Raw genomic sequence first — 25,733 nt, forward strand, 5'->3', positions numbered from 1 at the left:
TGCCTGTTTTTCACAAAGTCCAATGCAGAGACAATAAAAGGTCTCTGGGACAACAGTTTTCCCTAGTTAAAATGAAAATAACTGCATTGAGTACCAGGGTTGTAAAATGTCTATTCTTACACAATATTCAACAGAAAAATCTAAATAAATAAAAACAAGTGGCATTGTTTTTAGCCACAATACTATCAGCATCCCAATATGCACATTTCGCATACTCGCGACTTTCTTATATTTTATCTTTATGTTATCTTGGGTCTATCAAGAAGCAGATGCTAAAGTGGGATAAGACATGCAAGAAATTCGCCTGAGAGAGAAGAGAAAAGGAGCTAAGAGAGGGAGGGAGAGCTGTCAGGCTGTGATACAAACCTGACTCTGAGTGAAGGGGAGAGAGAAGGGAAAGAAGGTTGGGTGGAAGTTTCACAGGCTGCCTGAAATTCTAAGGAAAGGTTGGCAAGGCCATCAGAGATTCCTCTAGGTAAGGTCAGCCTTCAGCAAAGTCCCATATCTCCCTGGCATGGGCCTGATTTAGTAACCCCTCTGCCCAATCATTGTCTGGGGGCAGCACACAGAAAGCATGGCCTCTGTGCAAACACAGTATCAGGCTTTGGGGAACAGCAGCTGAGGCCGTTGTTCAATCACACTCCCTGCACTTAAAAACCTAAGAGGCACATTCTTATGCTCACCAAATCTTGAAATTAGACTTCGGACCATACCACAAACATTGGGTCACATGTGACTTACCCTGAATTCTAATAATTTTGACCCAAAGGGCACATAACACTGGTAAGGTGATTTGTATACTCATAACATCACCACAAAGAAAATATTGCCGTGTTTATTTTATAGATGAGCAAACCTTGTTGACGTGCCTAGTAGGATAAGAACAGAGAACGCCAACCCAGGTCTTTTAACTCCACACCCCACCTGCTTTTCATGGCACATTAAGGTGAGCAGTATACTACACATTTTCTGGGATAATGAGGAGTACTGTGAATAGTGCATGATTAAAGAAACAAATTATCAACAAAATTAGGATGCTTATGAAAGAGAAAGGAACACTATTAATAATCCCATCGAGGCAATAATTCTTTCTTCACTGACATTTTTCTCACTTCAGTCTATAACCCCACAACTTCCTTTGTGGACAGGTATTTAATATCAATCCTATCCAAATTGCACACAGGCTTAGGTCATCCCTACCAGGAGAACCGTCTTGAGGCTCAGGGAAGAATTATCTACATTTCCCTTCTCACTCTTGCTTCTTTTCCCAGGAAACAATTCAGAGGCTCTGGGCCAATCCTCCAGGCCCATCAAAGCAACTGGAATCTCCGACTCTGTACTTAGAAGATTTGTTTTAGATCATAATTACAGATTAAATTTCACATTTATTTAGCATCTTTGCCACTAACCCTACATTTCATTTGCAAATAGATATTTGCCTACAGTATCTTATTTATTTAATTGATTGCCTGTCTCAGTTTTCAGAGTAATTGTTTATCTCAAGTGGCATAACAGCATGCTCTGTTCCTATGCTCTACTCTGGAAGACGGTGCTGGCTGCCTGGAATAATTTAATGTCTCATTAAAGTAAAGAGACTGAAACTTAGCTCCAAAAACTCTCAGCCAAGGTACATGTTCTTGACAGCTTTGCAGATTTCACTTTTCCGGATGAACTTGCACACAGGAAGAATGCTTGCTCAAGCCTAAGTCAATCAAATATTCAGAGAAAACATGGACTTCACAATTCTGTCTCCCAATCTGCTTAGCATCTTTCCTTTTTCTCATACATTATGATTTTTATCTCTTGCTGTTAATGATTTCACAAAGCCTAAAAGTTTCTGCTGTATGGCTGCAGGAAATAAGGGTTCCTTTAAATGCAACCATAGATGCATTCTGGCTTCCATAGTATGCTTCTGAATTGGCAATTGGCTGACCTGAGCCAGTAATTTTAAGTATTCACCGCGTTGATGGCACCAACCAAAGCTATTGTCTTTTTAATTATAATTGCAGGCTTATTCCTCCAAAAGTTGAGATAACACATAAGTCAGTGCCACCCCTTCTAAGTCTATGCCTTTCTAATTCACCGTAGCCAAGGGTCTTACAGAAACTGATGCTACAGTATGTCGAGGGTTATCAACACTGTGCTTCCCACCAACAATAGTCTCCTTTAGGCCATATGGCCAGCAAATGATCCCATTTTAGAATCCTTTCTTGAAAAGCTTCTTGTTGCTAATAGAAAACCTGGTCTGAAAACTTCTGCATAAATTCTTCTACTTTGGATGGTTCCAGAAAAATTTGCGCGCCAATAGAAGTGCAGAGACCACCACTAGTGAAGTGAAAAATGACACAGGAAAGGAAAGGCAGCCAAAAAGTGGTGTGTTATCAAGCTTGCTATCACACATGGGAAACAGAACTTTAGCCTATAGGAAAACTGGGGGAAAGTACAAAACACACCTCAGGATTCTGCATGAGTGGCTAGGGACCTGGGACATTTTACATCAACTTCCAAGAATCACTGATTGAGGGCTCTTCTCAGGGGTGTTAATTTCTGGTGCTTACGGCTTGCCAAACACCAGAGCAGCGTGGCCTTGTGCACTTCCAGATGTGGGTACCAGCAATTGCAAATCACCCAGAGCATCTTGAAATGGTAGAGTTTAAGGGATATGGATGGGGCACTGACAATATCCACTGTGTTTACACTTTGAAGGATAAACATGTTGAACATCTTTGATTTCAACTAAATATTATAACTCAGTTCTGACTCAAATTCTGTTGTCTTCTCTGAGTAGTAACATTATACACAGCCAGGATTTTCTGTAAGTGATTTCTTAGATTGCTGTTTCATTGAATCTGTACTAAATTGTAATGATGAGAAAGAGTCTAGGTTTGGAGTCACTCAGGCTGAACTTTGAATATAAGCTCTCCTGCCTCTTACCTGTGGTCTTGGACAAGGTTTTGAGAGCTAGACATCTCAGTTTTTGTGTTTTGTTTTTTGTTTGTTTGTTTTGTTTTGTTTTTGCCTGTAAAATACGAATAATACTACCTTCCTCATAGCAATTATTGTGATGAAGACATGGTATATTTAGAGTTTGAAACAGCAAGCCTTCACTAAATAGCAATCCAAAGGGATTCAGAGGTAATTTAGAATTTGCATTAGTGTAATCCTTACTGCTTTCCATAACTTTGATTGGCCCTGCTGACAATTCACAGATATGCCAATCTATTTGCCTAACTAGCTGTCTTCTGCTTGCCACTCTAGATTCACTCTTTGCCTTTCTTCCCCCTTCTCTGCACTCCTGGAAGCTGACCTGTGTCTCCTACTTCTGTGGGTTCTCAAGCCCCCCAGTTTCCTATTGGGCTGGCCAACAGGATGCAAGGGGAAGAAATCAGAGAACAGGAGGAAATGAGGTCAAGACATCTATTCACCCCATAACCTTCCTTTTGGGTCATCATATGTTGGCTGCGTGCCTCCATTAAAGGTCAAAGCTGTTGACAGGTGACTCTCTTCATATAGCCTCTATCTGGATTCCAATAACTTCTCAGTCCCATTGTTTTTCAAACCTGGGTGTGATAATGGCTTCCCAGTGTTTCTGTGCCCTATGGAACTCCACTATACTCTCTTGGTTTCCTAACCACATCTTCGTAAATAATCTCTCCCTAATTATTCCCAGTTTGAATGTGTCACCTTTTTCCCACCAGGATCTTCACTAAGATATTCACAAACGGGCAGATTTCCTCATACCAGCCTCATAGGTATGATAATAGGTTTGCCAGCAGGGAAAGGGACAGAAGTGCATGCTTCTGTACATGTAAATGTACAGAAAATGTAGACCAAGACAGCTATCATTAATTCCAGTGTATTTCAAGACACCACATGTAATGCATCAGGTACGCACATGCACACACACTCACACATACATGCACACTCAGAATCATGCTGGGAATGGAAAAAGTGTTGTATAAGAAGATGTCAAGATCAGCAGCTCTCAACTTTTTGCTGCTAAGAGATAGTCGAGTCTCCCATGAGTAACTGGCTTTCACTATGTCCATGATTTCCAAAAGTGGATTAGTAGTGTTTTAGAATTAATGGATCTTAAAGAGCGATTTTCAGAATTTTCCAGGAGATTCTCACATGGCTCTTATTGCAGGAACAGAATAAAAGAAAATGAATAACAGTACAAATATTTAGGGCTTTGGGGTCTTACATAACTGAACATAAATCCTAAATTAGCCACCCTTTTTAGCACTGTTCAGAGTGTTTTTCATCTGTAAAGTTAGAATATTGAAGCATTGTTATAAGAATAAAGAGATTTATGGGCATTATTTATTTTACACATATGTATTAACATAATGCATTTAAAATGGCATTTCCTAAATGCTTGCTGTATCACTGGAAGGCAGCTATCAACATTACCAGGATGTAGAAGCAGTGTATATGCAGAAGTGGAGGGTAGGGGGCTCCCTTTCATTCCATTCCAAGAAGCCTGGACTATGGGGAAATTTGGAGTGAGAGTATGAAAATGAAAACACAAAGGAGAAGGTCTGACATGCAGCAACAGAAGTGATCCTTCCAGACTTTGAAAATCTGTTATGAGGGACTTCTGATCCATTATCATTTTCTGCCTTCCTTAGATCAGTATTCCCTTTAGACAGTTCTTTTCAGTCCCCACTATTACTCAACAGCTCATGGTGATGCCCCTTATCCTGTGTAACCTTTGTGGCCTGTTATTGAGTGCCACACAGAAAAAGCAAGGAAAGACCTTGCTGCTAACAGTGTCAATAGATTGAGCAGTCCTGTAACCCAGAGCTAAATCTCAGAAGAGGAAATGAGATGCTCAGATGATTTCTGCTGAGAAACTGAACTCAAACACTTCCCACATTCCTGTATCAAATGCAATCTATAGCTCTATTGCTCAAAAAAATTGACTTTGTGGAATTGACAAATATATAATTACATAAAAACAGAAAAGCCTTCCAGCTTCAGTATTCTACAACTCTGTTTAACTAGTTCTTACCCTTCATGGGGCACAAAACGTTTAGAAATAAAGCCTTCCAGCTTCAGTATTCTACAACTCTGTTTAACTAGTTCTTACCCTTCATAGGGCACAAAACGTTTAGAAATAAAGCCTTCCAGCTTCAGTATTCTACAACTCTGTTTAACTAGTTCTTACCCTTCATAGGGCACAAAACGTTTAGAAATATCTAGCATCAAACCGACCCTAACTTGCAGCCCATCTCCTAACAGGCTTAAAGTACCTGAATATTTTCAATCTGTTAGCACATCAATGAAAAAAATTAATTGCTAAGGGCACTTCACTAGATACCTTTAATGTAGCAAATAAACCTCAGGCCTAGCCTTTGCTACTCATATCTAATTGAGGCATGACCTGCCATGTGTCAAGACACAGTTAGCAATGCACATGTGGTTACACACATCCAGATGAGGGAAGTAGCAGAGGGAAAAGTGGAGGCAGGTACTGTCCAGATACTAACTCAAAGGAAAAACCTACTCTTGACAGTCACTTTTGACATATTACTTTGTTAAACCCTCATAACAATTTTGTGGGGCAGACATTATCATCTCTGCTTTACAGAAGTAAACCGAGGTTAAATAGAGGTAGCATATAACAAACCGGAATTCAATCCCAGATATCTTAGATTGTAAAGCCTTTGTAATTTTAATCAGGTCATACTACATGTTCCCTTCCTAAGAGAACAGTTCTTAAAGGAGAGAATCAAGGCCCTAAAGAATAAAGACAGTTTGCAGATAAATAAAGCATAGCTGTATAAAGTGGAAAGAAGAGCTAACAAGTAGAAAATAGTCCCCCTCATGTCAAGGTCCAACACATCTCAAGAAAGGAACTGTGCATCCTTCTATTTTCAAGTTCAGAATTAAGCAAGCACCAGAGTATATATCAGCATATACTCAGTATATATCAGCCAGAGACTGGCTGATTCAGAGTATTCTAAGAGACAGCCTGATGACAAACACACACCTGTTACAAAGAATGTCATCAGCAAAGAAAAAACCTGCAGGTTGGTTTAACATGAAGGTGGGATTCTATTAGTGACCAAACAATGAGAATTCCTACAGAGATCCTGGAACAAAAGAGACTTCCAACATTTACCTTGCATCTCAGATTTCTTTTTTCAGAGAGCTCCAGGAAAAAAAAAATGTTTAAATTAAGTTTGTTGCAGCTGCTCTGTCAGGAACTTACCAAGCGCTACAGCCATCGGAGCAATTAAAAAAAATTGCACAGAAGGTAATTAAAAGCCTTACTGGTTCTTGCGATTAGACTGACATTTTAAATGCGTCTGGATGTTTTATTGTGCCAATAACCTATTTCCCTCGTCTCCAAGAGAAATACAACTGACATCAGTAATTTACCCAAATACTCTACAGGTAACGTGTGCCAAATACAAACCTGCACTAAATTAGGGCCAGAACTCTCCTCTGTGCATTCTGCCTGATACATCTTAACAGGAAAGCTGCTATTTGCAAATTCCTTCTAAATGTTTGTGTTTTTTGGTGTTCACTGTCCTCTTTGCTTGGCTCTGAGAAACAGCCTAAAGATGGTTCCTAGCTGGAATATACTAGAACTATGGGCAGGGCAATCTTTTCCAATTTCCACATGGTTATGCAAGAAAAAGGCCCTTGCTTGGGAGGACAGGGCCTCATTCTGTCATCATTCTTGACTGGTGATGATTATTGCAGAATGTGAATCCTTTAATAGGCTACTCCTGCCAAAGAAATTCTGCCTTCCTCCAGTCTCAGTCCTCAATTCAGGATTAGAACATGAGTTTGTTATTTTTACAATAACCTAAGGAAAATTTTGCCATATGATTGAATTTAAAAAGCTACCCTGGCTCAGAGGCTAGGAACTTGAAAACACATCCTAATAGGAAGCTTAGGAAGCTTAATTACTCTCAACTTTCTGTTCTTTCTTTTATGGAAGAATTCCCAGTAGAGTTGTTGGGTCTACCGCATCAGGACAAACACAGAGAGAGATCTTTCCTCAGGGATGTAAAACCAAAAGACAGACAAACAAATAAAAACAGAAAAGGAGATAGATGGAATTGAAGATAGCTAGATGTTTTCTTCATAACAAAATATTATGAGAAAATAAGAATTAAAGTCACCCTCAAAACTTCAAACCCAGGTAAAAAAAAAAGCTGCTCCAGTTTTTGGGAAATACTGAGAAACTGAATTCAGAGTTCAGTTTCTCAGGGAAATACTGAAGACTACAGGTGAAGTAATTTGTAAGCAATTCTCTTCTAACTTTCTAGGAAAAACATTTTAATTTGCTCTCTTAATTTCTCCCTGTGTGATTTATTTTTTCTAGGATGTCGAGTAATCTATAACCACTATAAATGGTTCTCAGTTCTCCTGAGAACCATTTAAGCAGCCTTTTATACTGGTATCTAGTCATGTGATCCAGCTATTCTCAGTTCTTTCCAGAGCCCTGGCTCCCACTGTGTGTGAATGACAGGCATGGCCTGTCACATCTTCAATCCTTAGGGCTCACAGACCACGAGGCAGCAAGACTGAAGATTGTTGAACTTCAAATAAGACTTTGTATAAGGATGAAATAAATTTCTTAACAGAGTTAAACAGATTAAATAGCTTCAGTTTTGTTTTTTTTTTTTTTTTTTTTTTGAGACAGAGTCTCGCTCTGTTTCCCAGGCTGGAGTGCAATGGTGCGATTTCAGCTCACTGCAACCTTCTCCTGGGTTCAAGGAATTCTGGTGTCTCAGCCTCCCAAGTAGCTGGGATTAGAGCCGCACGCCACCATGCCCAGCTAATTTTTTTTTATTTTTAGTAGAGACGGGATTTCACCATGTTGGCCAGGCTGGTCTCGAACTCCTGACCTCAAGTGATCCTCCCACCTCGGCCTCCTAAAGTACTGGGATTACAGGCATGAGCCACCGCACCCAGCCAGGTTTTTTTTAAGGTTAAAATAAGATGATCAGATTTGATGAACCTAACAGAAAACTTCATACAAAGAAGGCATCAAGAAGGACAAAGTAGAAGATGTTCCAACCTATCAAACAGGGATGTAGAGGACACAATGTGAGGATGTCACAATGGAGAAAAAGATGCAATAGGCAACAGGTACAAATTACTTTATGCCATTAAGAGTTACTGCACAGAGCAATCGATTCCCTAGCACTAGGGGGACAGCAACTCTGGCCTTTGAACCCACAATGCCAACAGTGATCAAAGTGAGGGGCCCATGGATCTATTGGGCAACTTTTGTGCCACATACTTGAGTTTTTATTTGTATATTTTTAACATATTCTCACAACAGTCCTGGAGACTCTGGCCACTTACCTGCTTGCCCACCCAATGTATATCACTAGTAACACCTAAAGACCTTCTTAAGGCTCTAGTGAAACAAAGGTCACTTCCCCACAACTCACTTCCCAGGTGCTCCATGTATCTGCAGCCCCAAGCACTAGTCTACTCCCACAGAAATTTTGAAAGAGCATTGAGAGTATGAGTTCTTCATGCAGAAGTCAGTAACAAGGAAAGGTCATAAAATCTACTCCTCTAGAAAATTTTCAAAAGAGGATGAATTCCAATGGACCCGAGAGAGAGAGATGTGAGATCTTCTTTCGCTAAATAAAGTGGAAAAAAGAATAGAAATGAGTTTAATTCAGTGAAATATTCTTTAGGAGAACCATTAGGCCATTATGTTATTACTTTTTAAAAGTTGATTTAAGTGAAATTTTATTTTTTATTTGCTTACTTTAGTGTTGTAAAAATATGAAAGTCATCTGAGCATAATGCAAGAAGAACAAACTGATTTCTCAACATACTGAATGGCCCAACAGTGACATAACATCTCAAAAAACGTTAATTGAGCTTACTTTATTATGCAGGTCAATAAGAGAAACTGATGGTACTTTCATCATGTCATCTTAAATTTAAACTAGTTCATTAAATCCTTTTTGTCGGGTGTGAAAACAGTCTCATGTAGAACATGTTTTACATGAAAAAGTAAACTTCACAAATGATAATTTACGTCAAAATTTCTAAAAGATTTGATTTGCGTTATGTATATGGGGATGGTAAAAATGTGGTTGATCCCTTTAAATCCATTATGATAACAATGTCCAATATTACATTTCCAGGTATTTAATTTCAGGTATGTAAATTACCTATACATGCAAGCCTACAAGGCAATAAGAAATTCAGTTCCCCAAAAAGTCATTTTTAAAACAATTGCTAATAACTTTTAACAATGGGTAAGTAATACATGCATAAAATGTAATATGTGCTACAAATAGGGATGGATAGAATTCAGCCACACTGAGAAGGCCTGTCCTTTTTGCACCCAACCATCTGTATTTCTGAAGTGAATTCAAAATTTGCAAATAAATAAATGTATCTATAGTAGTCGCGGTTCTCCAGAGAACAGAACCAATTGGGTGTGTGTATGTGTGTGTGTGTTTAATAAAGGAATTTATTATAAGGAATTGGTTTATGTGATGATGAAGGCTGACAAGTTGCAAGATCTGCAGTCAGCAAGCTGGAGACCAAAGATAGCCCCGATGACGCAGTTTCAGTCCGAATGCCATTAGGCTCAGGACCAAGAAAGAACTAATGTTTCAGTTTGAGTTTAAAGGCAGAAGAAAATCAGTGTCCCAGTTCAAGGCATTCAGGCAAGAGAACTTCCCCCTTATGAGTGAGGGATAGGGATGGCTTTTTTGTTCTATTTAGGTCTTCATCTGATTGGATGAGGCTAACCCACATGAAGGAGGGCCATCTGCTTCATTCAGTCTACCAATTCAAATGTTAATCTCATCCAAAATGCCCTCACAGACACACCCAGAATAGTTTGACCAAATATCTGAGCACCCATGGCCCAGTGAAGTTGACAGATAAAATTAATAATTTCACTACTCTAAGAAAATAATCAGACATTTTTTAAAAAGAGCTATATGTACACATATTTGGAACACATTCTTGTACAATTCAATTATGCTGAACTACTTGCCACAGAATATAGGAATGGTAAAATATCCAACAGTTAAATATGAGATAGAGTGTGATGTATTCATTAGAAATCATGTTTTTTCAAGATCGTTTTAAATGTCATAAACACTTTCTTAATATAATATTAAGTGAAAAAAGTGGGACACTAAATTTTTAAATGATTTCAAAAGTTAAAAATTATCCACCTGTAAATTAAAATGTTACCAACAGTTTCTCTCCCAGTAGTGGGATTATGAGTGGCTTTTCTTTCTGTTGAGACAGGGTCTAACTGTTGCTCAAGCTGAGTGCTGTGGCACAATCACAGCTCACTACAGTCGCGACTTCCTGGGCTCAAGCAATTCTCCTGCCTCAGCCTCCCAAGTGGCTGGGACTATTCCACGTACCACCACACCCAGATAATTTTTTATTTGTAGAGACAGGGTCTCACTGTGTTGCCCAGGCTGGTCATAAACTCCTGGACTCAAGCGATCCTCCCCCCTCATCCTCCCAAAATGCTGAGATTGTAGGCATGAGACACTACACCCAGCCCCATGAGTGGCTTTTCTATTTATCTTTGTACTTCTTCATATATTTCAATTTCTCTATGAATATTTTTCCTTTTTCTAACAGAAAAAAAAACCATGATTTAAATATTTTCAATTACATATATCTTAATGGCCATGTTTCCGTTGGTAACTTTCAGCCCAGCCACGTGCACCACTCCATTCCTGGATGCACTTGCTCCCAGAGCATCTCTGAATGCATACCTCCTCTCTGCTCTCCATTTCCAGACAGCTAAGTTCTATTGACATTCAGTGTCTCAGGAACCTTCTCCTCCACCACCTCTGCCACCACCTTAGTTCATGCCCTAATTCTTTTTCTCTGCTTTTGCTGGATTCTATCCGTGCAATGCTCAAATGCTTCCTTCATTCAGCGTCCACAGTGATCAGCCTAAGGCACTATCGCCCGAAAGCTCCAACATGTTCTCATCACCAAGTGGGACTGCTTCATAAGACAGAAAGCCCTTTGTAACCATGCTTCTGCTGGCCTCAGCTCCTGCCACGTATTCCTACAGCCTTGCACTTCATCTAGAACCATTCTGAACTCTGTAATTTTCCTCTCATGGTGGCTTTTTTCTCCTTGGCACTTTTGCAAGTTCTGTTCCTTCTGCCTGGAATGCTCTTGTCATCCTCATTTCCCACACCTCTATCTTGTCTGCCTCACTAAATTCTATGCTTATCATCAACCTCCTTGTGAGTCTATCTCAGCTACCCCAAAGAGAGAATTAGGTATGTTTTTCCCAGTAATACCTCCCAATCTATGCATAATTTTATCACTGCAGAGGACAAAATATATTGCATCCATTTGTTTACATGTCTTTGTCTCCAACAAGATATAAACTCTCAGAGAACAGTGACTATACCTATCCAACAGAATTCATTGTATGCTGACATGCAGCATACAGCTATTATATTACACATAGCAATAGATATGATCTTCTGTAGATCTTCAAAATAATTCTAGCAAATTCGACATGAACATATTCTGTGACATTTGGTTAAAAAGTGAATATTTAAATATAACAACTTTTTCTTGTTTTCTACTTCCAAATAGTTATCTTTTACAGATTTTTTCCTCATTATAATATTGTGATATGAGAAATATATAGTTGGTCTTTGTCCCTGGTTTCTTGTAATTTCCTGTGATGGGGGTGAAAAGAGCATCTTTTGTTATTCACAATAAGACCCTTTAAACAGATCTGAGTTTATGCTAATGAGGTGACTCTTGGTGGGCCCCAAGATAGCTTCAGGATGGGAGCTGCTTGCCAGAGAAACCAACCACATGATTAGACAATTGGTCCTTTCAGTCCCACTTACCTGGAACCTCCAGAGAGGAGTAAGGGGAGAAGAACTGGAGGTTGAGTTAATCACTGATGGGCAATTATTTAATCAGTAATGCCTATGTAATAGAACCTCCATAAAACCCCTGAGCAACCAGGTTTGGGGAGCTTCAGGATTAGTGAACATATCAAAGTACCCAGAGGGTGGTGCACCCAGGGAGGTCATGAAAGCTCTGCACCTCACAACTCACTGCCTTGCCATATGCATGTCTTCTGCCTGGCTGTTTTGCATTGTATCTTTTATTAAAAAACCAGTAGTAGTTAAAAAAACAAAAACAAAAACAACCACACACACACACACACACACACACACACACACACACACACACACACACTGTTTTCCTGAGTTCTGTGAGCCATTCTAGCAAATTATTGAATCTGAGGAGACAGTCATAGAAATTCCAATTTATAGCTGGTCAGTCAGAAGTACAGTTGGTCCAAACTTGTGATTGGCATCTCAACTGGGGGAAGTCTTGTGGGACTGAGCCCTTAACCTGTGGGGGTCCTGTGCTAACTCTAGGTAGTGTCTGAATTGAATTGAATCATTGCATAACCAGTTAGTTCCCAGAGAGTTGGAGAATTGGTTGGTATGAGGAGAAATCCCACATATTTTGTGAGAAAGCACGGATCATAACAGTTCCCACTGAGTAAATTATTTATTTGACTAGAGATGCTAATTTCAGCTAGCTGATTTAGTTAATTCAATGAAGAAAAAAAAAATCCAGTGAACTTGTGGTTTCCAGTGAATGACTTGTCAGTCTATTCCAAATAGTTTTACATATAGATGTCCACAGGCCAACTAAATCTACCTTACCAACCCAATCTTGGAAATCTCAGTTCTTTTACTACTGTCCTGTGACTACAATAAAAAAACTTTGAGTTTTAATTTGCCCACACTCAAAAAGTAACATAAACCAAGTCCAAGATTAAACAGCCTCATGCTTGAAATCTCAGCTTACTTTTTCTACTAATCACCAATGAGCAATTATTTAATCAATAATGCCTATGTAGACAACTCTTTGACTTAATCTCTGCCTTTTCTAGTCCCTTCCTGCTTTATTCAACTTCTTTGTACTTAATATTTTGTCTTTTGGTTTGTTTGTTTGTTTTAGTAAGATGTCTTTATCTGGACTCTGGTTCTAGTCTTATTTTGCTAGCCTACTCTGGCTACACCCAGTTGCCACATAACAGAGGAAACAAGAATAGTGTAGAGCAGGCTGGGTGCGGTGGCTCACACCTTTAATTCAGCACTTTGGGAGGCTGAAGTGGGCAGATCATGAGGTCAAGAGATCTAGACCATCCTGGCCAACATGGTGAAACCTCATCTGTACTAAAAATGCAAAAAATTAGCTGGGTGTGGTGGCGGGCTCCTGTAGTCCCAGCTACTTGGGAGTCTGAGGCAGAAGAATCACTTGAACCCAGGAGGCGGAGCTTGTAGTGAGCCCAGATTGGGTGCCACTGCACTCCAGCCTGGCGACAGCGAGACTCTGTCTCAAAAATAAATAAATAAATAAAATAAAAATAGTGTAGAGCAAGGGGAGGATTGTTGGGGAAATTGTTTTCTCCAGAAATATTCATTGATCAGTTGGTAGTGGTGTTCTATAATATGCTGAAAAGGATTCTGAAACTATGCTCAGTGGAAATTATTGATTAGTAATGTTCAAAATGGGTGCAGGGAGAGGAAGATGGGGAGAAGTTATTTTTAATATAATGGAAAGAATTCAGGGCACCATAAAGAGACAGACAGGTATTAGCCTGCATTTATAAAATCTTGTTGTATGACCTAAACAAGTTCTTTCTCCTCTGTAAGACATTGTTTCTTCATGGAACTTTTAATTAAAGTCTTGTTATTTAGATTAAATGTACAGTATGGAAAGTGTTTTTCAGAGAACACATAATAGGTGTTCAATAAATGAAGGGAAGATGCTGACAATCATGATGGCAGACTCCTTTCAAAACTAGTCTGCATCTTTTACTCTCTTTCCAGGATTATCTACTCAGGTCAAATGAACATTTCCGTTAAGTTTTAAAGTGTTGACAACATAAAAGGTGATCATTTTCTCAGTGAGGCAATCGCCTTCACTGGATGCCTCTTTTTCATTGTTTTTATTTTATTTTATTTTATTTTATTTTTTATTTATTTTTCTTTCACTGGATACTTCTTGATGGCTGTCTAAGGCTACCTCATCTTCTGAAAAGTATTCCTTGGTTATATTTGGGTCTCTTGAACATTTCCCTGATGGTAAGCACCAGTTCCATTTTGAAACCTCTCATTAACCCCTGTTTTCCCTCCAGTGATATTTCATGTGGACTTCTGTTCCATTCCGAGTGCGGTCTTAAGAAGATTTCTCCTTTGGGCATTCTGACTTGCCCTATTGTAGACTTCTATTCAGAAAACTGACTCCACATCCACACTAGAGCCCTGGCTTCTCTCTCTACCTCCTGCTGGCTCTAAACTTCTGTTTCATTGTTCTCCAGCCTAAGTTTTGGGAGGGAATCCAATAATGATGACCTAGATCTTAAACTTATTTAAAAAAATTAACTTCCCAGTACAAAGTATCATGATCATCTTCCACTTGGCGCCAATATATAGCCCCAGAAGTTAAGATTGCACTTGGTTCAGATTATGTAGCCTTGAAGAATTAAGGTGAACCACAGATGAGCCATGGGTGGCTTTATAACACACAAAAAGGGGCAAGATATTTCTGTGAGCTTGACTCACATCCGAGATGTTTTTCCCAGTATTTGGGGATGGTGTTAAATGAATGTCACCTGGGTCTTTTTATCTTCCCTCACTTCTAAATCTATTTCTCACCCTTCTCATTCAAAAATGAAAGTCCTGAGGGCCTGTCATGATAACAGATGTTTCATTCCTTTACATTTTAAAATTAACATAGCACTTGAGTCATAGCCTCTGAGGGCTTTGGGAAAGAAACATGAGCTTAATACCCATGAAAATAATAAAATTAGATGAAAAGTTAAAAAAAAACACAACAAATTCATCTGGTGCTGTAAAAACAAAAACAATTACCACCCCCAGCCAGACCTGTCTGAGAAAAGTAGCAGACAGTGTTTTGCGGGTTAAATGGTTGCTCTCTATGGTATTACATCCATAAAGTCAGAGGAAATAGTAATATTTGGGTAGAAAGATTAACTGAACTGAGTGTAGGTAAACCTAGAGTTTAGGTGTAATCTATTTATTTCCAAGATGAGCTTCATTTGGCCATTATTATGTTTTCCAAAGTGTATGCCATGAAGAACTATCCTTTTTGATATTTCCTTTTTTAAAAAAAGGAGTCCTGAAGACATTGTTATTTGAGAAATAATATATACTATAACTCTTAGCTTAGAGAGACATGATTCCTAAAAACATACTTGAAAGAGACCTGATTTGTTTAACTCAGTGTTGTTTGCAAAATATTTTCGACAATGTGATATTTTTATTTAGTTGTGTTTGATTTATTACCAGACATCTATTATTTCTAAGGTTTATTTCCCAGCCATTTCATCTTATTTAATTATAGTCCAATAACATAAATATACTTATCATTTTTTAAAAGCAAAATCACTGTAAATTTAGCTGAATTTTGTTTATTACTCATTGTATTCAGTATTCTTATTTTTGCTTTACCTAAATGTACCCATTTACAAGGTAATCCATGCGTCAACTATTCCAGGATTTCATAAACATAAACTTGCTTACTTCATTCATGACATTTATTATTATGATGATGCTTAGATAAAAAAGCCTTTGCCAATTTCATGTTCATCATTACCATTGATGTTCTCACAGCTACCACTTATTAACCACCCACTATGTGTCAGGGAGCATGCTAAGTGTATTTTGTGCATTTCCCATCAAATACTCACAACCACTATGGCAGGTATGCATTATAATTCCCATTTAATGTGAAAAACCTTATATAGCTTGCTTAAGTAGGTGGTAAGTGGCAGAGCTGAGAATGTACTTATGTCTCCCTCTGGCTTCAAAGCCTAAAATGTTCTTTTAACTACACTGTTGTTCATGCATGTGACTTAAAGATTTTAGGGTGTTTCCATATGGAAGCAAGAAAGCCTATAGTTCACACAACAAAGGAGGTAAGATATCTTTAAAACAAACAAAGCAGAAAAGCTTCATATCAGCATCTCAAGAGGTTCCTCTTCAGCCCAACACACTGAGACACAAGGACTTGTGCGTTTTTGTGTGTCTTTTGATTTTATTCCAGAGACCTGGTCTAACATTCAGTCCATTCCTAATAAACTTGTTTATTACACCAAGTTTTGGCTCTGAAATTTACTTTTGTGTTCTGGCATCTTTATTTCCATGCTCAGCTCTGATTTGGTGGTTCTTATATTTGGCCTGTCTTCTGGCATCAGCTTTCCATTCTCCACAAATAGATCCTTCAGTTTCATCTTTGATTTTATTGGACGGTCTCCGTGGTTTTCCTTTTGAACCCAGATCCAGCTTTGCCACCTAAACTATTCCCTTCCCCTCCTTGCCTTAGGGGGATTATCCAGCGTGGGCTGATCCTGCCAATACCTGATCTCCAGTGCTGGATGGGCTTAACTCTGTGCATCCGAACTGGACTAATCTTGGTACTGAGAAGAACCTCCAAACCCCCTTGCCCATTTTTCAGGCTCTTCTTTCCATAGTCTCCAGCTGCATTATGCTTTTATTGAGTTGTGGAAACCACATGTACAGTCCCACTGCAGGAACACCATGGTTAAAAGGCAGGTAAGGTGGGGAGGTTTTCTCTTTTTTCTAACAATATTCCACTGCTTTGTTTACCACTTGAGTTATTGTAACAAATTCAGCTAATTTTTATCAAGAAAATTATTCTCCAATAAGTTCTCTAAATATTTACCTATCAGGTTATAAATCAAAATACAATTATCTTTCTGGCTTCCTTTGAGACCTTGAACTAGTAATGAAAATATATGGGCCCCATTTTTCCTCATCTATGAAATTAGAGGAAGGCCACATTAGTTGTCTTCAAGGGGGTTCCAAAAGTCCTCATGTTCTGCAGCAGTGCCTATGGGAGATATTAAGCAGGGGAAAAGGTATTATGGAGCAAACACAGGCAAAAAAGGTCTGCTTTAATCTGTCTTACAAGTTAGGTTTCTGGACAGCATTTTACTTAGGAAAAAGAATAAAGATTAAAAAATAAGCCTGAACAGACTAAACCTAGCATTGCATTTCCTGGCTTTCCCCCTTCATGGGAAACTGCCTCTTCCTCTCCTGGCCTTTAAGTTGTAGCTCAAATGTCACCTACTTGGAGAAGCTGAACTTTGTTCCCTCAGGCTCCGTTTTCTGTGTTCCCAGAGCTCTTGATAATTGTTCCTGAAAACACTTGTCAGGTGATATTGCAAGGTAAATGGCTCTGTCTCCCCCTAGTAGGGCAGCAACTTATGCAGGTTTTTTGCTCCTTAGTTCAGCTAAATCTGGGTTCTTGTCTCATGACCAGAAAATATTAGGCACATGGACACATTGAAAGGTAAGGAAGGCAGAATTTATTAAGCGAAAGGAAAGCTCTCCACAAAATCAAGGGTCTTGCACGCAGGTTTCCACCTCACAAACTGAATACCAGACCACCACACAGAGGCGAGGCTCCTCCTCAGCATAAGGTGTGAATTCCTGGTGGCTCCATCCCATCCTTCCAGTGCGCCATGTGGGCCCTTAGTCTAAACCATTCCACATTGATTTATTTTCCTTACTGTACACGTGTTAAGGAATGGAATTTTTCACTGTGGCCATGTTTAAACAAGCCTCCCGTGCACAATGACCTGGATGGGTCAGAGGTTCTCCAGGGACCCTTCCTTATCTGCCTAGGCATTTTGGTGTCTCCTGCCTCTATCACAACCATGTGCTATGTGTCTTACCGTACCCAGTGCCCAACACAGTGCTGTGGGCATAGTAGGTGCTCAATAAATTTTTACATAAAGAATGAATGACTCACCCAATACATAAAGTTTCCATTATTTACCCCAAATCTAACACACTGCCTTATACTTTCTGAAACTGAAGCTCAGTTACTATTTTTCAGCTTACTCCCACAGTCTCTCAAGATGTTCCTGCAATTTATTCATGTCACCCTGGCATTTCACTATCAGGAAAAACCAGTGTCATCAGCAAATTTGAAGATGTCACTGTGCACTCCATCTTCTAGATCACATCTAAAAATGTTCCCTGAAAATAATCCTCAAAGGACTTCTCAGTTTACGCTTCCTGTATCTAGACCTGTTTATTCTTACTCATGGCTTCATGGATAGAAATTCAGTCCATAGGGATGTATGACAATATTTTTTTTCCAAGTCTGACGATCAATTAATTTTAAAAACAGCTGTTTGGACTTGATTAAAAGTTTTTGAAGGTCAAATAATTTGCGTTCTCTCTGCTCCAAAACATGAAGAGTAGTGGATACATTTAAAGCTTTACTATTAGGTATCTACCTAGATGTTTCTGAATGGAGTCAAAAACACCAGGTTATTTTGAGAGGTAATGAAGTGATGAATAATCTTAGGTGGTTATGGATATGATCTTCCTGGAGGTGTTATCTGGCTGTATGATCACATACCAAACTACCCATTCCCCCACTTAGATGTGTATTCAAAACAAAATGTAAAATTGTATATAGCTCTGTGTATATCTTTAATAGCTATTTTTATCTCTCAATTTACTGATAATTTTTACATTATAATCTTATTGTGCGACCTAAGATATCAGCTTGAATTAGAATTCATCACATTTTTCATCTAACCCCAACACACACACACATGCACACACATACACAGCACATAATGATGATAATTTGGGCTTCAGTCACCACACCTGTTTTCTATTAAGAAAAATTAACCCGGGCATGGTAGCTCACGCCTATAATCCCAGCACTTTGGGGGGCCAAGATGGGCAGATCACCTGAGGTCAGGAGTTCAAGACTAGCCTGGCCAACATGGCGAAACCTGTCTCTACTAAAATTACAAAGAAATTAGCCGGGCGTGGTGGCAGGCACCTGTAATCCCAGCTACTCGGGAGGCTGAGGCAGGAGAATGGCTTAAACCCTGGAGGCGGAGGTTGCAGTGAGCCAAGATCCTGCCACTGCACTCCAGCCTGGGCATAAGAGCAAAACTCCTTCTTAAAAAAAAAAAAATTAATCCTTATTTCATATTCCTCTCCTTGAAATTTATACCTGTATTTGATAATTGACATATCTTCAAAGCAATTTTATTATTTAACCTATAGCCAGTATAGATTGTCAAATGTCAAAATACGAAATGAGAAGCAAAAATGCCCCTCATCTGGAACCATAGAATATAGTTTCTTGCTTAAGATTTTTTATTTTTTTAAATTGCCATTGCAATTTGAATAAAGACCTCGGACTTTCCAAAACATAATAATTTTCAAATTGTATTGATTGTCTCTGGAATACTTTCTTTATTCATTTAGCTTTTATTTTAGGTATTTATCCTAGTGCTCATTATTGTTGATTTACCTGGGTGAAATTGAATTTACTTTTGATGACCTCAATTTAAATCCCCTCAATAGCAACTTCATTGTTTATTTGGGGAAGCATATAATACTATATGCACATCTGTTTCTTTTCTAATGTTTTCAAAACTGCCATTAAGACAAGTTACAGCTAAATTTTTAATGTGCTTTTCATGGACACAGCTTGCTAACTTCAAGAGGAAACATTTCAAATAATTTTCAGGAGTATCAATTCAAATTCTCTTTTCACTGTCAACCCGTTGATTCTCTCATATGTAAAAAGAGATTGCATAGGGGGATGTGTAATTTATAAATTCCAAGGTCCCTTAATTAAGATGTTTTAGCCTTGATTGTAGTCCTTACTCTATAAGTAACTATAGAAATTTGGATAAGTCCTTTTAACTTTTTTGCCCTTAATCTCTTTATCTAAAACAGTAGTCTTTGTCTGTTTTGATACATGAAAACATTCCAGGAGCCACTTGAGTGTGGATAGTTTTAAGCAAACCAATGTCTGATTCTTAGCTTCCATATATGTTGGTTTCTGAGGTTGATCTGCCTGGGAAGGGATCTGCTGTCAAGTCATTATGCGAATTTTCTTTCCATTTCCACTTCTACAATTACTCTTTTCCCATTTTGAAAGAAAAAGTAGAGATCTCACCAATCCCCAATCTTGGTCTGCTTCATTGCCCTAAGGATTAAAAATATATCTGAACTCACCAAAGTTTCAACATGAAATACTTCTCTACAGTACCACCAACCAAAAACAGACTTCCTATCTTCCATCCTTTCTCATTTTAAATATTTCATTCAGAGGCAAACATGGCATTAGAAACATTAGCCTATGTTGGCATATTTTGAATTCAGGTATAATTAGAGTAGGGCTTGGGGTAGGGTGCGTAGATGTTGGGAATGATGATGCTCTTCTTTTAACTACCTCACCTCCTCCCTTATCTATTGTCAAATAATGCATCACACCTGAAGGAGGATCTCAGGCGAACAAAGCACAGGATGCTCAGGTAAGCAGCACTAAAGGGAGCAGCACTGTGCTTTATCCAAGAAGAGTCCACAATTCATTTATCCATCTATCAATCTAGCTAGCCATCTAGCTATTGATCTATTGATCTATCCATCCATATTTAGAATTGGAATATTCAGATTTGTAAGTAGCATAGTTAAAAATTACCAATCTGCTACAAAATGAGAAATGAGTACTCTCTTCATTTTTCTCATTCTTAACAATACAAATCAGTTTAGTGAACATTTCTGCCCATATAATTTATCTATGACTTAATTTGGCATTATTTCAGGGAAGAGGTTAAAAGTTTGTTTAACTATACTAGATGAACGTTATATCTTTGAATAAAAGGAACCTATATCAAAGTAAATGATTTGTATTTTCCTGAATAAATACTCAGACTTGGAGAAGAATTTTTTACAGTTCCCCCCCGCCACCTCCCGCAAAATAATTGAATATTACATATCCATGTTTTGTTTGAACTTAGGGACTTCTGTTTTCTCTCCTGCACCACCCACTTTTCTGTTCATGCATTCATCTCCACCATGTACTTATTTGGTTTAGATTAAATTAACGGAGTCACATTGTGAATTCCACGCTAAAAAATGCACTCAACCAACACCATTCTTGCTTCATTTACAAGCTTGCACTCACTAGTGGCCAAATACTATCCTTTTCTTTTGGCTTGTAATTTCCACAAAATAAATAACCTGTACTCTTTAAAGCAGAATGTCTTCCTCTGTATAGGTTAAGAACAAACGTTCTCCAATATTGTTCTTTGACTTTTTTTAAGGTACTAAAAAAAAAACTGTGAGAACCAAAATTCATCACAAGACATACATCTTCACAGCGAATGCAAAAAATCTCAAAATTAACAACATTCAATCTATGAGGTGGATTTATATCAATTTCACTGAATTTTAGCCACACAAATAAAATGTCTTTCCATAAAAAAAGCAAGTTTAATTAATTGTCACTTGCGTGTCCTGTAAAGCTTTTTTCTTTGTTACAATGCCCAGAATTTAAAGAATTTGATAAATTTAATGAATGGGTAACAAAACCTTTTGAAAACTGTTGGTAATTAGCTTCTGGTTATTTACATTTAACAAAATTAAAGAACGTAAGACCTAATATATCATTAAAAATTATTGATTATAAGTATCATTTTGGGTATGTAACTCAAGATGACTTTAAATAATTTAAATATATTGATATAATAAAACTTCAATTCTATATTTATTTGTATAAAATTTTTATTTATTTATTTGTATAGAAGCTCACCTACATCCATTAAAACGAAAAATAGGAATAACACCAATATTGAATTCCGTTCAACTCTGGCAATAAGTAATATTTATTGATGAATAGATTAATTAAAAATAATACCACACATTTACATTGAGATGCACTTCTAATAAAAGTTTACTTGTTATGCTAAATAAATCTTTTTCTTTTTTTTTGAGATGGAGTCTCGCTCTGTCACCCAGGCTAGAGTGCAATGGCGATCTCAGTCACTGCAACCTCTGCCTTCCAGGTTCAAGCGATTCTCCTCCCTTAGCCTCCCAAATAGCTGGGATTATAGGTGTGTGCCACCACTCCCGGATAATTTATTTTTAGTAGAGATGGGGTTTCACCATTTTGACCATGCTGGTCTCGAACTCCTGACCTCAGGTGATCCACCCACCTCAGCCTCCCAAAGTGCTGAGATTACAGTCATAAGCCACTGCACCTGGCCTTGCTAAATAATTATTTATAAAATCATAAATATACTTGTTATTTTGATCAAGTATGTATCTGTTACAATTGTTATGGTAATTCAATCCAAATTTTAGACACTTAATCCAAAACACCCAGGAAATTGTCTTAAATTGTAATAACTCTAAATTTTCTTAATCTCAGAGAATTATAATAATCAATAAACAACTTTCAAGTATAAAATATAGTGCATTCATATAAAATTATGTAAGGAAAGTTGATTAAAAATATAAATTGACACAATAGCAAAGGCTTCGAACCAACCCAAATGCCCATCAATGATATACTGGATAAAGAAAATGTGGCACATACACACCATGGAATACTATGCAGCCATTAAAAAGAATGACTTCATGTCCTTTGCAGGGACATGGATAAAGCTGGAAACCATCATTCTCAGCAGACTAACTAACACAGGAACAGAAAACCAAACACCGCATGTTCTCACTCATAAGTGGGAGTTGAACAATTAGAATATATGGGCACAGGGAGGGGAACATCACACACAGGGGCCTGTCAGGGGGTGGGAGTTAGGGGAGGGATAGCATTAGGAGAAATACCTAATGTAGATGACGGGTTGTTGGGTGCAGCAAACCACCATGGCACATGTATACCTATGTAACAAACCTGCACATTCTGCACTTTCTGCACATGTATCCCAGAACTTAAAGTATAATAAATATATATACATACATATATATACATATATATTTATATGTATACACACATATATATACATATATATTTATATGTATACACATATATTTATATGTATTTCTTCTGTTATAAGAGAGTTTCTCTGTTTCAACAGACGATTTGGATATCAAATCACTATTGTATTTACACACTTTTAAAATAAGAGTCTTACTTGCATGTTTAGGTTCATTGCAGTAGTATTCACAATAGCAAAGACATGGAATCAAACCAGGTGCCCATAAATGGTGGATTAGATAAAGAAAATGTGATACATATGTACCATGGAATACTACACAGCCACAGGAAAGAATGTAATCATGTCCATTACAGCAACATAGATGCACCCGAAGGCCAATATCTTAAGCAAACTAATGAAGAAACAGAAAGCCAAGCATTGCATGTTCTCAGTTATAAGTGGAAGCTAAACACTGGGTATACATGGACACAAAGATGGGAACAATACACACTAAACAACACAAGATGGGGGCGTGAGGGGAGGAGGCAAAGGTTGAAAAACTACCCAGTAGGTACTATACTCACTACCTGGATGACTAGTGCAATCCTATTCCAAACCTCAGAATCATGCAATCTACCTTTGTAACAAACCTGCACACCCTCTGACCCTAAAATATAAGCTGAAAAAGAAAAATTTAAACTGGGGCTTCATTAAATACATAAGCAAATAAAGTAAAAATAAAAATAAGAGTCTTAAAGTAAAATTTTTGTTTTTAAATGTTATTTTATTATACATAATAGTCCCCCAAAATATATTATTTAAATTCAGAAATGAAAATTTTAAATATTATCTTTAAAATATGCAATGGTAGCATGTGTTTTTTCTAATTCTTTTCAGAAAGAAATGAGGAGAAATTTGCACCATACTAACATAGAAGATGGGGATAATAACATGAGACCTATCTTCTTCAAATGACTTCACCAGTGGCACAATATGTGAAATGAAAGATACTACGTAAGATATCATGATGACCACAATATGCCATATGGGGTTTTTGTTTTAATTTGTGTTATACCTTATATGATATAGTGCAATACTACCTACAGGGAAGTAATTAATTTATTGTGGGTGGCAATGACTAAAACTTGACTCAAATAACTTCTGTATTTGAGCTGGTTCTATACCAGATCTTACTGGAGCCAAATTGCCTTCATTTCAAGAAATGCTTTATTTATATCATTTTTCTCAGGAAAGCTAGGGTTTAAATTACCCTACGTTCTTTCTCACTTACTATACACCAAGTTGATGTATCTAGAATTGGTTTTATTTATTAAAAATTGAGGTATTGGACTACATGAAATTTAAAGTCCTTTTCAGATTTAACGTCTTCTGAATCAAGAAATGTAAACTTTAAAGTAATTTTAAATAAAATGAGGAAAAATAGGAGACAGAGAAAACCTCATTTTGAATGAAAATGCAATTTTTCCAAGTCCTAGCTTAGTTATTTACTTCAACAGATTCCTTTACAGGAATATTTATTTTTTGTGCACCAAAAAGTATGCCACATGACAGCAGGTAGCATATTAGGCAGGAGAATTAGACCTTGGATATATGAGTGAAATATCATCAAATTTTTAAACACCATTTGATTTTTATTTACACTCATTCTTTTAAATCTTTCATGTCACAAATTGGGTCTTAATTTTTATTCTTTAACAATACAGACAACCATATGTTCATTTGCTTCAACTGTATTAAATTATTACTGAATGATTATAATTCCACCATTACCGTCTTTTCAAGGCCACAAGTTCTCAATCACTGCTATGTTATGCTCTCCTCTATTTCAATTTCAATTCTAAAATACAATACAAACAATGTGACTGCATCTTTAGGATATGTGTGGAGTAGCATTGGGTTTCAATCCCCTTCTTCAACAAAATATAAAACAAAATAGTACAGCATTATCCCTGCAAACATGTATTCTTCCTTAGTCATTCTGCAGTTCTCAATCTAGTCAATGTCAGAGTATTTAATATGACCCATTTTTCATAGAGAATAGTAGTCCCATTTACACTGCTGAGATTGATAGCATGGTATGCTATCAATCCCAAAAGCTCTGATGCGGGCTGTGGACCTCTACCAAAAGATTCCTTTCTGCGCTATCAATCTCACCACTTCCCACTGTCTCTAAGCCCTAAATCAGACTGCTTGATATCTCTGCAGTTTTGTACTCCTGCATCAGCAGTCTGCCTAAGCACAGCCATCACTCACTAGCACTGTTAACTGCACTTGCTACAAACACTGAACCACTTTCCTCATCCTAAGGCCAAGTGTGAAATTCCTGCTACATTACATCACTTATGAATCTCTCTACCAGAAGAAAGAACCCATTTTGTCTCCTGGATTTTGAATAATGGGAAATTTAATAGGATTATTATTTTATTATTTATTTTGGTAATGAGACTCTTGAACATAACAGGTAGCCCAACAATGAAGCAAGTCTATCTCAAAAAGTAAAGTTAAAAAAGATTCATCAGTAAATATGTACTTTGTTCTCTATTAGAAGTAGTAGTATTTCACTCTATAACTGCTAAGTGTTCTTTTGAATGAAACTTCTAAGTCTAATTTCGTCATTCTCTTTATAGTAGAAAGCCAATGCATTCCCACTAAGGGTCAGCTTTAGGTGAGACAACATCAGAGACAGAGTGGCTAAAACAGTAAGGCAAGATCTGGCTGTAATGGCTGAAGCATGTTTAATCCCATTTTTTTTCTATCTTCACAAATCAATTTTGCCTCGGTTCACTTGAGAGTCATTTCTTCTCATGTTTTGTTGGACAAAGCAAGTCATGTTGTCATGCCTTGTTTCAAACTGCAATCCATTTATGTACGTGAAAGGTGAAGGGAACTGGAACCCAAAAATTATTCACATAGGTTATTTTGAAAA

The sequence above is a fragment of the Homo sapiens genome, chromosome 2 (assembly GCF_000001405.40).
Source record: "Homo sapiens chromosome 2, GRCh38.p14 Primary Assembly".
In the NCBI taxonomy this organism is placed as follows: Eukaryota; Metazoa; Chordata; class Mammalia; order Primates; family Hominidae; genus Homo; species Homo sapiens.